The 14625-nt window shown below is 40.5% G+C and overlaps 1 protein-coding gene and 1 pseudogene across 14 annotated transcripts in view, besides 1 other annotated feature; one reads left to right on the top strand and one right to left on the bottom strand.

The window, feature by feature from the left end:
- Positions 1-14625, top strand: part of FRMD6 (FERM domain containing 6) — a 334297-nt gene that overhangs the window by 205521 nt on the left and 114151 nt on the right. The gene's annotated exons all lie outside the window — the stretch shown is intronic.
- On the bottom strand, positions 2888-2949 carry LOC124903415 (uncharacterized; annotated as a pseudogene).
- Positions 8016-8065: an enhancer, noted in NCBI's record as "active region_8374". NCBI's record gives its function as "activates an Ori minimal core promoter by ATAC-STARR-seq in GM12878 lymphoblastoid cells {active_cell/tissue: GM12878}" and the evidence as "EXISTENCE:reporter gene assay evidence [ECO:0000049][PMID:35858748]".

Consider the following 14625-nt stretch of genomic DNA (forward strand, 5'->3'; position numbering starts at 1 on the left):
GTCATCTTAGCCTACTTGGCAAGCCTTATAATACCAAAATCAACTTCCTAAATGAAGAGCTGGGTATCCAGCCACTCAAAAATGTTTTCCCCAACATTCCGTTAGCCTCACTGGTACATGTTCTTTTAAATGGAAATTCTCAAAGGGAGAGTTGATCCCCACTAATCACTCTTTAATGTGAATTAATTCAGTCAGATAATCAGATGCTCCAAGAAATAGAATTAAAGAAAATAGAAGTAATTTTTGAACATATGGAACTCTGGGAGAGGGTGGCCAGCTTACTAGGAAAGGACTTTGGGGTAATCAGGAGTGTATGTCCGTGTATGTGTGTGTGTAAATCCAGGAGAAGGGAGGGTTGGAAAGAGAATTCTCACAATCCTATAACTTTGTGGCTAGAAACAGATGTAGGCTTATGTCTCTAAGGATGAATGGATGATTTGGAGCAAGAAAGGACCAGTCACTTGCTTTTGTATGACACACAGACTAAAGGTAGTTTTCACATTTCTAAATGATTAGAAAATAATCAAAAGAAGAAGACTATTTTATGACACATGAAAATTATATGAGAATCACATTTCAGGGTCTATAAATAAAATTTTGTTGAAACATGGCCATGCTGATTCATTTATGGATTGTCTATGGCTGCTTTTGTGCTATGATGGCATGGCTGAGTAGTTTTGACAGAGACTGTATGGCCCAAAAAGCCTAAAATATTTACTACCTGCCCCTTTACAAGAAAAGCCTGTCAACTACTGATTTAGAGCAAAGTGTTTGTTTCTTTTTCACTTTCATGCATTTGGGTGAACAGTTTTTTAACACTTATAAAATATTTCTTCCCTTTCATAAAATATTAGAATATACAGAGATAATTACAGAGATGTTTATCCCAATATTATTAACATTCAAAGAAACAAAACTTCATGCTAACCATGTGGTACTGGTGAAATTATGGTATAGCTATACAATTGATTGCTGTGGAATAATTTATTGGTGCTATGGTCTAAATATTTGCATCACCTCAAAATTCATGTGTTGAAATCCTAACTCCCAAGGTATTAGGTGATGGGGTTTTTAGGAAGTGATTAAGTCAAGAGGGCTGAGCCCTCATGAATGAGATTAGTGCCCTTATAAAAGAGACTCCAGAGAGCCAGCCAGCTCTTCCACCACATGTGGATACAGCAAGAAGCTACCATCTACCAACCAGAACTCCAGCCCTCACCAGACACTGAATATGCCAGCACCTTGATATTGGACTTCCCAGCGCCCAGAACTATAGGAAAAAAATTTCTATGGTTTATAAGCCACATAGTTTATGATACTTTGTTATAACTGCCTGAATGGACTAAGACAAGTGGCATAAAAACTGTTTCCAGTTTTAACTCTTTATACAACATGAACCCATAAAAAATGTTTCAATCAAAAATATCATCAAAAAGCCATACCAACTTTCAGATATGTTGTATCTGAGTGGTGGATTGCAAGTGATTTTTTTTTTCTTCTTTTTGCTTCTCTGTATTTCTTGAATGGTTTACAGTGAACAAATACTACTTTTATAAAAAGGAAAAATACATAACGAAAAACTTTCCTTTGATACTAGAGATGGTTAGAAAAAAATAGAACAAAATTATAATATGTTAGATATTTTTTCATCCTTCCCTAAGGTAAAAATGTTCTCCTGGGAGACAGTGGAGCAAGGGCCTTGGCATCAAACTGCTCACTGGGGTTGAGAAACCAAGACTGCCAGTCACTAGTTACGTAACCTGGACTGAAGTGCTTGCTATCTCTGAACCTCAGTTTTCCGAGTTCTCAAATAAGGAAAATAACATCCTCTTAGGGCTTCTTCAAGCATTAAATAAAATCATACATAGAAAACAACTAACTCACATGGTGACAGGCACATAAGCACTAAAAAAATGACTAATTTTCAACATATTTTATGTAGAATATTTGCCATACGATGTCCTGCCTTCCACGGTAATTTCTCTTGTGATACAAAAAAAAAAAAAAAGTCCCTAAGATGAAATACATGGAGTGAGGAGCAGAGGAAGGTGAGGGAGTGAGTATCAGAGCAGTGAGGAGACAGATGCCAACTATCCTGAGCATAATGGAAAATGGAGCAGTTCAGAAGAGCCACTGGCTTTGTCATTTGGTCAGGAAGCTTTCATTACTACTTGCAATAGTGAGAGACCGCTAGATTGCTGGGTGGGGGCAGAATGTCTGCATGTGTGTGATGGTGCAGGTCTGGGAGGAAAATTTTTCCAACAGTTCACAGTATAGTTCCACAGTTTTGAGCACCCATTGCGTGAAAAGCACCGGAGATTCCAAGATGTGTAAGATACAGTACATTCCAGAGTGAGCTCTGGCCTTGTGGTGGGTTGGAAGGAATCGCTTTGGAGTAAGGCATTGAGCAATCACTTGGAATGCTACTTACTTGAACTGGAAACTATGCTTTCCAGATTATTATCATTATTATTATTAGTGTGCTTTCAAGATTATTATTTGAAGGAATTCACAGCAAGAAGGAAGATTCTTACTAAAATACTATTAAAATCTTCATGTTTTGCAGAAATCATTGGATATAATTGGGCCAGAAATAAAAAGAAACACTAAAAAAACTAATGATAAGTTGGGGGAATAGATGCTAAGAGCTTAAGAGAATGGGAAGAGGTGAAGAGAAAGTTCTATGGCCCATTGTATTTCTTCCACCAGATGCCAAGGAGCATCCCTTGGGTAGAACAACGTCAACTAGAAACTCTGAAGTGTGCCATATTCTTTTCATCCTCCTTGTCTATCTTCTTGTCCAGGGAATACTAACTACTCCAAGAGTTCATTTTCCACCTTTATACTCTTCCAGGCCCTCTCCACGCCTCTGTACTCCCAACCTCCTCAGGGGCCATGCTAATCTCTGTATCATTTCAATTTTAGTATATGTGCTACCAAAGTGAGCACTGCTTACTCTTAATACTGGCACAAGTGAATATATTCCAGTCCTGAGATTATATCGTTGAAGTGTAATGGCCTATGCGAGCTGTGATCTCAAGATACATGAGGGGTAAAACAAACAGAAACCAACCAAAACAACACCATTGCTTTGTGAAGTTCCCTGTATCTCTACCCCTGCCTGGCCACCCATCTAATTTGTTACATAGTCATTACTTTTTTATGCTATTTACTTCTCTGCAGGTTTCTTTTTTTTTTTTTTTTTTTATTGATCATTCTTGGGTGTTTCTCACAGAGGGGGATTTGGCAGGGTCATAGGACAATAGTGGAGGGAAGGTCAGCAGATAAACAAGTGAACAAAGGTCTGGTTTTCCTAGGCAGAGGACCCTGGGGCCTTCCGCAGTGTTTGTGTCCCTGGGTACTTGAGATTAGGGAGTGGTGATGACTCTTAACGAGCATGCTGCCTTCAAGCATCTGTTTAACAAAGCACTTTACATATATTTGCATTACATTATTTATTCCAATTTTAGGATGGGTTTGAAGAGGATGGGTTTGAATTTGCTACATCAAATAAGGGAAAGAAATCATTCTTTCTTAATGTCTCCACACGTGAAGTATTTGGAGTCCCTATAATTATGTTGCTTATGTCTTACCCCAAAAGATGTATGCTCTACTTGAATGTCCCTCGTGAAAATGCTGAGAGAGAATATATACCTTAAAAGGCACTTCAGGGAGGTGTCATGCCCCCATCTGCAGAAATGGCACCCAGCAGATCAAGACTATACAGGATTAGCTTTCTATTGGATCTGGAATATGACTCTTTCTATCATTGGAAATGGTATGTGCAAATGTTGCTAACAGGATGTGGGCTATACATTTTGAGACCTGTTGAAAGAGAAGGCAACCAGAGTCACAAGATATCACTTTATTCATCTGTAAAGGGAATTCAAGTGGTCATATCAGGAAGAGCTGTACCCCCGAGTCTCAGAACTTGTGTCCTTCCTACTGCTGAGGCTGGATACACTGAACCCACTCCACTTTATTACTCAGGCTCCATGCTGTTGTCTTCAGAGGGTCAGAGAAATTGGTGTCTTAATTGAAAATTGATAATGCAGCCAGAAGTATGATGGGTTAGTTTCTGAGGCTAGAGAAAGTGTGTTCTCTCCAGGGTAAGGTAAGCGTTATCCTTTGCCATGCCTGTGCATCACAGTGAGATGCCAGGAAGTTCTAGGGGGGTGGGTGTAGTCAAGAATGTGACATCAAGTCTTCAAGCACTTGGTAGCATCTCCTTGGCCTTCTGGCCTGGGGAAAGAATGATCCATTCCACACAAATATCCTCAAACTCACCAACTCACACACAGCCAGTAATACACATGGACATTCAGAAATACACAGGCACAGCCATACGTACAACAAGCACACATATTAATGTATATACACAGTCACACATACAAATATGCACATGCCCACACATATAAGCACATATATGTGAGACACATGCACATCCTCACATACACATGCACATATGTACACCCCTGCTGGGCACTCTGCAGGCCTTTTCCAAGGAACAATCTCTAGTCCCCAGCCCTCTCCCATCACCTCTGTCCTAATGATGCTCTGACCCTGGGATAATACTTAGGTGACCCTGGCTCTCCTGGGCTCAGTCCATGAATTATTTCTATCCCAATAGCTCTAGGATTGAGTGTCTGAAATGAATGCTGAAAAGCAGGGAGGTTGCATGTATTAGTTGGGGTCCTCCAGAGAGACAGAGCCAATAGGATAAATATAGGGAGAGATATGAGAGGGAATTTATTAGGGGAATTGGCTCATGCAAATGGAGGCTGGGAAGACCGTGACACGCCATACACAAGCTGGAGACTCTGGGATGCTCAGGAATGCTGACCTAGCATGGCTCAGCCCAAGTCCTAAGGCCTCAGAACCAGGGAAGCCAAAGGTGTAATGCTCAGTCTGAGGCCAAAGGCCTGAGAACCTGAGGTGGGGAGGGGGCTGGCATAAGTTCTCCAGACCAAAGGCTGGCGAGCCTGGAATTGTTGTTCAAGGACAGGAGAGGAATGGTGTATCCCGGTTCCAGCAGACAGGTCTGCACTTTCTTTTCTGTGTTTATTCTGTCCGGGTCCCCAGTAGATTGAATGATGCCCACCCACACTGAGGGTGGGTCTTCCCCCACTACTCCCCTGAGGCCCACATGCTAATCTCCTCTGGAAACACCCTCACAGACACAGCCAACACAGTGCTTTACCAGGTTTCTACATATTCCTTAACCCAGCCAAGTTGACACCTAACACTGGCCATCACGCTGCTGTGGGGGACAGCGGGAGAATGGAAGAAAGGGGTGACCACCCTTTCTTCATCCATGTATGTGCAGGATCAGACGACTTCTTCCATGTCTTCTGACTCACACTATGAAACTATCAATATTTGGTACCTTAGGGTGGAAAGTGTATTATTGTGTATCCAGTTTAAAACTGAGGGGGCAAACGGGGCATGGTCATGAAGACCAAAGAAAGAATTGGCCCTGCCACTGAGGTGCCAACTCTAATGTTGACTGACAAAGAAATGACTAGGTTCAAGTTTCTCAAATTTACTTGACCATTTTTCATCATCCAATAATACATGATTGCCATGTAAGTAATATTTCCAAAATACAGGTAAAGCCAAGGTCTCCCTCCCTCCCCCATACCACTCGCTCCTCAGGGATGATGGCTGGCAGCAGGAAGTGGATGGTCTTCCAGTCTGCACGCTTTGTTGGGCTTTTTGTCCTAACACAGATGGTACTGCACTACATGAATCATCTTAAAACTTGCCATTTCCCTTACTTAACTATATGTCTAAATGGGCTTTTTATTAAGTGACTTTAAAATGAAACAAGTCACCGGCCTTCCGGGTGGGGCCCCTTTCCCGGTTTCTGCCGAGTGCCACGCTGTGCTTGCGGTTGCGGTTCCGTCAGGAATCCCTGACTCTGGGTTCCTGCCTTTTCCCATCTCACAGTCACAGCACTTGCTTTGCAGTGTGTCTGGGCTCCTGCCTGTCTGCTGTGGCCACGTGAAGGAAGCGGAGTCGTCTTACTGTAATTATTTGAGGCTCTGGGCAGTTTTCTGTGCATCAGATCCAGTAACACAAAACAGAAGAAAACCATTATTCCCAAACCCAGCTATTTACTCTCTCCCACACAGCTTTTTCTGGGAAAAGGAGACTGCGGTGATTTGGGAGAGGGAGCTGTGCAATCCCCAGCTAGGAGCCTACGAGCTGTGATCTGCAGAGTGTGCTCTGGGCACCCAGGACTGCCGACCTAGGCAAAGTGGAACAAAATATGAGAGGTTCGGCTTGGGATCCTTTGCCAGAGAGAGTAGCCTGGTGATTAAAACAACACAGACATAATCAGACTTTTCCCTCAAATCCTGGTTCTGTGACCACCAGCTCTAGAATCTGAGGTCAGATACTTATTGTTTGTACACCTATCCTTATCACCTGGAAAATGGCTGTAGTAGTAATTACAACTTTATAAGGTTTTGTGAAGCTTAAGTAAGAGAATGCATGGAAAGTCCTTAACACAATGCCTGGCATGAAGTCATTCCTAAGGAAAGATGAAATCCTGAGTGACCTTCCACCTCCCCTTCCTTCTCTCAGGCTTTTTCTTGGTGGTTCAACCCCTTGCATCTGCCCAGTCACACTTTCCCTGTTCAGCCACGCTTGCAGTAGCTGTGAACCTGTTTATTCCCCCTAGCCTGGATCTTCCCTAGTGTTCCCCAGGGATATACCCTCATTCACCTTTTCCTCTAACCTCAGCAAAGCTTCCCCTCAACCCCCAGCCCAACTGAAGTTTGCCTTCACTCCTTCATACACATTTGTCATTCATTCTTTCAATACACATGTACGTTAGTGCACAGGATAAGTGATGGGGAGGAAGAGACAGTCCCTGCTCCAAGGAAGCCCAGCCTATTTATTGGGAATCAGTGATCCATAAAGTGGCTACCACAATGCAGGGTGACAAATAAATGCACTGGTGAGAAGGAATGTCCTACATGCTACAAGGAGGGCATGTGCACCAGCCTTGGGGGGTGGCTTCTCTACTTTCTGGGAGATTTTTACAGCTCTATCTTCCAAACCTCCTACTAAATTTTTGATGTCATCAATTACATTTTTAATTTCAAGTATCCTTTCTTGTTCTCTGATTATTCTTTTTTCATAGTGGTTCTTAAAAGATGTATAGGAATCAGAAATGTACATTTAAACCAGGACAGATTCTAACAACCTGGACAGGAAACCTAGTTATGAATATCCCAGTCTCTCGGGGTCAGGTTCTCTGTAAGATCCAAGAGACAGGTGGCCAAGCTAATAAATGGAGTCATTCATTTCTCACTGGTTGCATCAATATTATCGTTGTCTGTTATGTTCCAAGTTATGGTTTGGAGTGGTGAGGGCCATGGTCTGTGCTTTCAAGAATTCACAGACAAGTAGAAGAGAGCAGCACATAAACAAACAATGACTCTACCAAAGGGTGAACTCCACAGACATCGGTGTATGGATTGCTCAGGAAACGGTTGGGGAGAACACTAGGAAGGAGGGAGAGGGCCACAGAGGTGATGTTTTTGCTGAGTCTTAAAGGATAAAAGCAAATTCACCAGGCAGAGAAGGGGCAGAGGAAGTGGCAAAGGAGGAGCAACATTCCTGGCAGAGAGAAAGGCATGCGTTCAATCAGAGAGAGATTAAAGAGCTTATAGCATGTTTGAGATGGGATGAGAAGTTCTGTGGCTGGAATTTAATGTTCACTGAGTAAGGGGAGATGGGGGAGAGCCGACTGGCAGGAGATGCGGCTCAAGAGCGGTTGGTTAGTCTGGATTGTGTAGGGCCTCACCTGTCATGTTAAGGATTAGGGTTTTGTGTTTGTGGTTCTTAAACACTTAACATATACCCTTTTGAAAATGTGATGAAAATTATGGATCTTCTCATCCAAAATAGGCACATACACACAAAGTTTCAGGGCTTGAAGAATCCGAAGCCCATTCCTCTGCTCTGCTCAGTCAGCAGAGAAACCTCTGAAAGTTTTTAAGCAGGAATATCATGTTCAGATAGAGGATTGAGCTCTTCCACATCCAGCTGTATGTGGCTATAGAGTCATTTCTGGTGCAAGCATCACGTGCCTGCAGTCCGCCTCTAGTTTCATCTGCATTTGTGGTGGACAGTTCTGTACAAGTGCTGACTCATCTTTCAACTGGCAGTCCTAGCTCTCTTGACCTAGGCACAGGCTCAGTCCCAGGGCAGCCCTCGGCCAATGGACCCGGGGGTGGGGGAGTCAGTAAATAAACAGCGCAGCCTCCTTTCTCCAAGCCATTATTCCTCCAACCACTCCTATCTTCTAGAATATTCTTAACTCTCTCATAAGCTGATAGGTCCCATCCTATTCTTTTTTTAATCCCTTTTTTTTTAAAAAAAAAAAAAGCTGCAATCTTTGGTGACTTGCAAACAGAAAAAGAGATAAATGCTTGTATTTGGTTGGCCATTATTAGCTAAACATCTGTTTAATTTTTGTATCCTACTTAGAATAAAAAGTTTAAAATATATTTTAAATAAAAACAAATATTAGAAACCGAAGGAAAAATTGAAGGGGTTAAAAATGGGAAAAGATTAGAACCAGGATCCCCAACATTGCTCCAACTGAGTTTAAAGGTTGAAGAATTTTAAAAATCACTTTTTATTGGTCAAGTCTAATGCCAGTTTCCTAGGGTTCCATCATAAAATTCTCTACATAAGTCAAAATATTCAGAGTATGTGGTATGGTCCAATTTTGTGTAGAAAAGGGAAATAATACTATAACTTTCAGTTTTGAAAAAGTATATTTTCCCCAGGTCCCAGGGTTAGAAATTGTCAAACATTCTTCAGGACTTGGAGAACAAAGCCTTCCAAGTTGACTCAGGTGTTTGTTTTTTCAGTGGTCAATTGATGGAAAAGAAAATTAGAAAAACAACTGATGGCTATGACTTTGACTTTTCTTTCAACCCATGGTTGTGGCATTGTGTAGACAGAGGCAGAGTTTCCAAATCCCCTGGCTTGCTTAAATACAGGCATAAGAGAAATTGGATGTGGGTCTTGCAAGCAGGAGAATGTGCCAGAACAAATACAATTATTGAGAAGAAATCGAGTAATCTTTCTATTGCTTCTTGGCTCTGTGATACAGGAAAACCAGGCTTTGTGGTCTCTGAGCAGGATCTCCAGAGAGTGTCAAGCCAGGAATCTCTTTGGAGAGGGGAAAAATGGAGAAGGAGGCTAGGGAGGAGCAGAAAGGAAAACACGAATGGGAAATATAAGGAAATTTCTTAACTTAAATTTCCTTAAAGGTATTATGGGGTCTTATTTTACCAGAACTTCCCATAGAAATTCAGAGTTCTCCCTAGTAGAAAGAATTCTGGCACTAAGGAGAGTGGCTGCATAAACATCATCTAATCAGTTTGAGGTAGGGATTCTGTTCCTTCTTCCATGGCTCTTGAACACATTGAAATAACCAGGGCTGCTTTAAAAAAGACTGATGCATGGGTCCCACCTCTAGAGATTCTGATTTATTTAGTCTGGAGTGTAACCTGGGCATTGAAATTTTGAAGATCTTCCTAAAGTACGGTCAAGATTGAGAATCACTGTTTTTTCTCATTTTCTCTTCGACTTTACTGTGTCCACAAATCACCCAAGGATCCTACTAAGACACAGATTTGAATTCAGTAGGACTAGGGTAGGGCCCAAGAATCTGCATTTCTAACAAGCTTCCAGATGATGCGCATGCTGTCAGTCTGGGGCTCACACTTGGATACGCATAGCACTAGAGATCTAAGGTCCTTTTGAACTGTTAATGCTGTCATACTACCAACTTGCTGGATTTCATGCCTTTATATGTCACTTTATCAAACAACTCTAAGCATTATGCTGTGAGTAGCTGATGGACTATTATGTAGCCATGAAACATTATGCTAATGAAGATTATATAGCGATAATGGGGGAATGCTTATGTCATGATGTAAAATGAAAAAAAAACAGTGGCAGAAAAATTTTATATGATCACAAATATGTCAAAGAAAAACTGCATAGAGAAAACTGGGAAGAATTATATCAAATGTTAATAATAATCTTGAGGTGATCTTTTTCTTCTATTTATTTTTATAGTTTTCTAGTATTCCATAATGAACACCAATTATTTTCATAACAAAATATTTTCAAAAGAAATGCCTGAACATCTGCAAGTTGAAATAATATAGTGCATTTAATCCTTTCATATGTCTAATTTTATGTTTATATCCATCCTTATTTTGTATTAACAACAAATACAGGTAATTTAAATCTCTCCATTTAGTCAACTCTAGATGAGACTAGAGTAGCTAGTAATTCACAGAGCAAAGGATAAAACCAGCCTCATTGTTGTAATTTGGTTCTTTCCATGAAAACACTCCATCTCTCTGTACAAAATATATCATCATTGCTTCTGTTGAATAACTCAGGGAATGCTGCAAATTGTAAATAGCAATGTGAGACAAGGGAAAGATGCCTAGGCCAACTATAAGAAGACCTGAATTCTAATTTTATCTTGCCAGGTAACCGGCTACATGACCTTGGGCCTAAATTGCTTACATTCACTGAGGCCTCAATTTCACTTCTATAAAATGGGTATTAGTAGAAATGCCTACTTCAAAGGTCATTATGAAGATGAACTGAGATAGCAGGCACTCACTAAGTGATGACTCAACTTCTGTAGGTCTTGATTTTGCTCATCATGGAATAAGAGGGTAGACTAGAAGACCTCTAAGGCACCTTCAAACTCTTACTCATAAAGTTGGAGAACTGTACTTTTGAAAGATCTGCACAAACAAGACTACTTGGAATTTCTCTGGATATTAAATAAACCCCTACCAGTTCTCAGCACTAGGCAGCAAGGACAAAAAGTCAGAGTCAAATAAATTCAATATAACATGATAGATATGTGCCATAATGGGAATAGATAAAAAGTGCTATAAGAGTCCAAAAGTAGCTGTAGTTGAGCTAGTGATAATGTGGGGTTTGAAAGCAAAGGGGAGGAAAAGGAATTCAGGCAAAGGGACACACAGGTGCAATGGCTTGGAAGCATGAAAGAAAACCGTGGTGTGACTGGAAAGTATATAGGAAGGAGAGTGGAGACGAAACCAGAATTGAGACAGTTTATGGAGGACCTTTTTGGCCAAAATGAGGAGTTTCTAATTTAATCTTTGAACCAGAGAGTAATATAATCAGATTCATGATTTTAAAATGAACTGTGACAGCTGTGAGAAAGGTAATGTGGAGAAAGAGAGGCAAGTTGGGAGGTTATGACAATAATCTAGGCATTGGTGACAAAGAAACACAAACAGGTGTATTCAAGAGACTGATGGGTCTTAATGATTGTTTGCATGTGTGGGTGTGGTGAGGGAATAAGGAGAGGAGGAATTCAAAGATGCCTGTGACCCAGATAGAAAATGCAAGAGATGGAGCAGTATCGGGGTAAGAGGTGCTAATATGTTCAATTTGTAGGTGAAGAATCCAAGAAGACAGATTGAGCAGATTTGTGGATATGTGTACTTCTAAATCCGGAGGGAGAGATATTATGGAGTCTGTGTGAGTGGTAAAGTAATGAATGGATCAATGTGTATCTGAAAACACCAGCAATGTTAGAGGTTTCCAAGGCAGCGCAACTCCAAATGTAATCCAAGGACAGTTTTGTCAGCATCATAGCTCCCCGGTGCTGGGCTTGATTCAAGGCCCACTGAGACAGCATATGCAGCCTGAAAGATGAGCATTTACATCTTAACAAGTCCCTCTTTGCTCTAAGAAAAAGAGCCCTTTGAAAAACTGATGGAAGCTGTAGACCCAGTACCATTCAACAGAAATACAATGTGAGCCACATATGTAATTTTAGTGGCCATATTTTTTAAAGTAAAAATATATAGATGAAATTAATATTAACAATATATTTTATTTAGCCCAATACAGATATTATTTCAATATTAATCAATACAATAATTATTAATGATATATTTTATATATTTTTATCACTATCGCTCAAAATCCAGTGTGAATTTCACACGTACCACACACCTCAATTGAAGCTACCACGTATCAAACACTCAATAGCCACATGCAGTAGTGACCATTACATAGGACAGTGCAGCTACAGGCACTTCCCACTCTTCTGCCTGAAAAATACACATGCACACAAAATGTTCAAGAATTCTGGGGATTCTCATAGCTCATGAAACACATCTGCGCTTGGTTAAGAACTCTTTTTTTCTAGGAACTTTGGGTTGGTTGGTTTTTTTGTTTTTTTGTTTTTTTTGCCTGATTCTAGAAATAGGTGACTTTTCTTCAATGTTGCAAGGCTTAAGTATTCTAGTCACATGGAATACAGGGTAACATACACCGTAGAATGAGAATTCAATCTTACGAAACAAAGATTGTCTTTTTGTTTCATAATTCTACAGTGGACTGTCTACTCTAAAAGATAGATTCTTATATTTTCACCGGTCACACTATTGGTTGCAGACTTGGTTTATTAACTCTGTAATTATTGTTTCTAGGCTAAACAGAAACAAAGAGTTATATGCAATATTTTCTGGGTGGATAATTTTAAACAGGATTTTCAATTCAGTGAATTTTTAATTGTTTTTTGTGGTCTCTTTTCCCCATGTATTGGTTATATACACATTTCAGAGAAATATCCTGAGGCACTACCATCTTCAAACTCCCATGTATGGTTCCTTTAAAGCAGCACCCTCTTAAAGAATACTTTTTTCTGGATCTCAGGCAGAATTATTTTTAGAAGCAGCATCATGTTATAGTTGAAAGAATGACCCTTCCTTTAATTGGACTGCTGGGATGATTTGGTTGTGGTCTCACATAATTATAGACCTGTGACAACAATCTAAGGGCCATCAGCATACTTCCAATGCCTCTAAATCAAGGGTCTGTGGTTAATTGCTCACAGGTGTTTTCTTGTGCTTATGAATACATGCAGTCTATGAGTTATACAAAACTTGGCAGAAAGAGAGGCCATAAGGTTGAGGAGTTTCTTAGATTTACTCAGCTAATTAATCAGGCAGAGTAGGGATTTGACTACTCCACTGAAGGGGCTAAGCATTTAGAGTATGACTGAGGAGTAACCTGTACTGTATTTTTAAAGGAGAGTTTAAGAGGAAAATAAAAGGAAACAAAAACTTTTAGCAGCTGCTGCCACTAAAAGCTCAGTATAGTAGTCCAGCCTGTTCTAGCTGCTCTGCAGAGGTAGGTCAGCACTGCCTAGCTGCAAAGAAATGGTGTTGGATTCTAAAATAAAGCATTGACTGTGTTAGGATATGAATTTTAATTTCTAAAACTGTATATTAAGAGACAAGCCACATTGTTGATCCTTATTTCTTCTATTACTAATCATTATTGTCGGAGTTATGGCCTTAGAAAGTATGGAGATGCTAATGAGAAGATTCATGTATTAGATTTGTTTATAAATTCATCCTAAGCAAGTAAACATGACATTATTCTGTGGCATAATATAAAACCCCAAATAATGTCCCAAGAATTGCCCCAGGTAACTTCTCTAGCAGTTATCCATGAAAATAAAAGCACAGGGGCCTGCAGGAATGAAAATCACTCACAGCCAGTTAGACCACATCATTCTGCCCAAGAAGCTAGGTGGAAAATTGTTTTACATTCACTTCGACAAGCATATGGTGAGCCAGGTACTGCTGTAACAAAGGTGAAAATGACATGGTTCCTGCCCTCAAGGAGCTGATATTTGAAAGGAGAGGAGGGGAAAAACAAAGGAAGAACCTCACTTGAAAATAATGTACAGGAGAGTCATGATCCACCCAGTGAATTCTAGAAACATTTCATGGAGGATGTAGCAACTGAGTCAAGTTATAAAAGATTAGTTAGCTAAGAAAGTGTGGTATTCCAAGGAGAATATAACCAGAGCACAAAGAATTATGTGGGAAGTAGTTACATGTGGAACTAGAGATACAGGTAGAGGTGATGAGTTCCAAAGATACCTTTCTAAAGATGCAGGAGACTTAAGCTTGCCTATAATCTGAAAGGAAAGATCTAGTTGAAAGGAAGAGATTAGATCTTGGAAGATATGGGTATAAAGGCCATAGTTTGAAGTGTTATCCTGAAATAGAAAGAAGGACATACCAACCTCTAAGACTGAGGGAAGGACAGCAGGTTGGGGGTGGATGTAGAAAGGCGCATGAGAGGATAGGAAGTTGAGATGTCTGTAGTTGACAGCCTTCCATTTTCTGATGAAGTGGGAGGTGATGTTATTAGCTTAAAGCAATGGCTCTAATCCTCGGCTGTACACTTACCGGGGTTATCTAGGGAGCTTTAAAAAAGTACTGATGCTTGGATCCAGTGCCAGTGAATACAATTTAAGTGTTCTAAGATGCAGCCTAGGCACTGGGATTTTTAACAGGTCCTGGAGTGACTGTAATGGGTTGCCCATGTTGAGAACTACTGGCTTAGACTAGATTAAAGGGTTTGGAACAGCTGTGGAGGGGAATGGACAAGGGAGCTGAAGATAAGCCACACAGCTGTGAGGCGGTCTTAAAGATCAGGTGAATCATAAATGTCTGAGAGTCCCAATCTGCAAGGGATGCTCCTTTTTTCCTCCTCAGCAGCAGTGTTATG

Source organism: Homo sapiens, chromosome 14 (assembly GCF_000001405.40).
Source record: "Homo sapiens chromosome 14, GRCh38.p14 Primary Assembly".
Classification (NCBI taxonomy): Eukaryota; Metazoa; Chordata; class Mammalia; order Primates; family Hominidae; genus Homo; species Homo sapiens.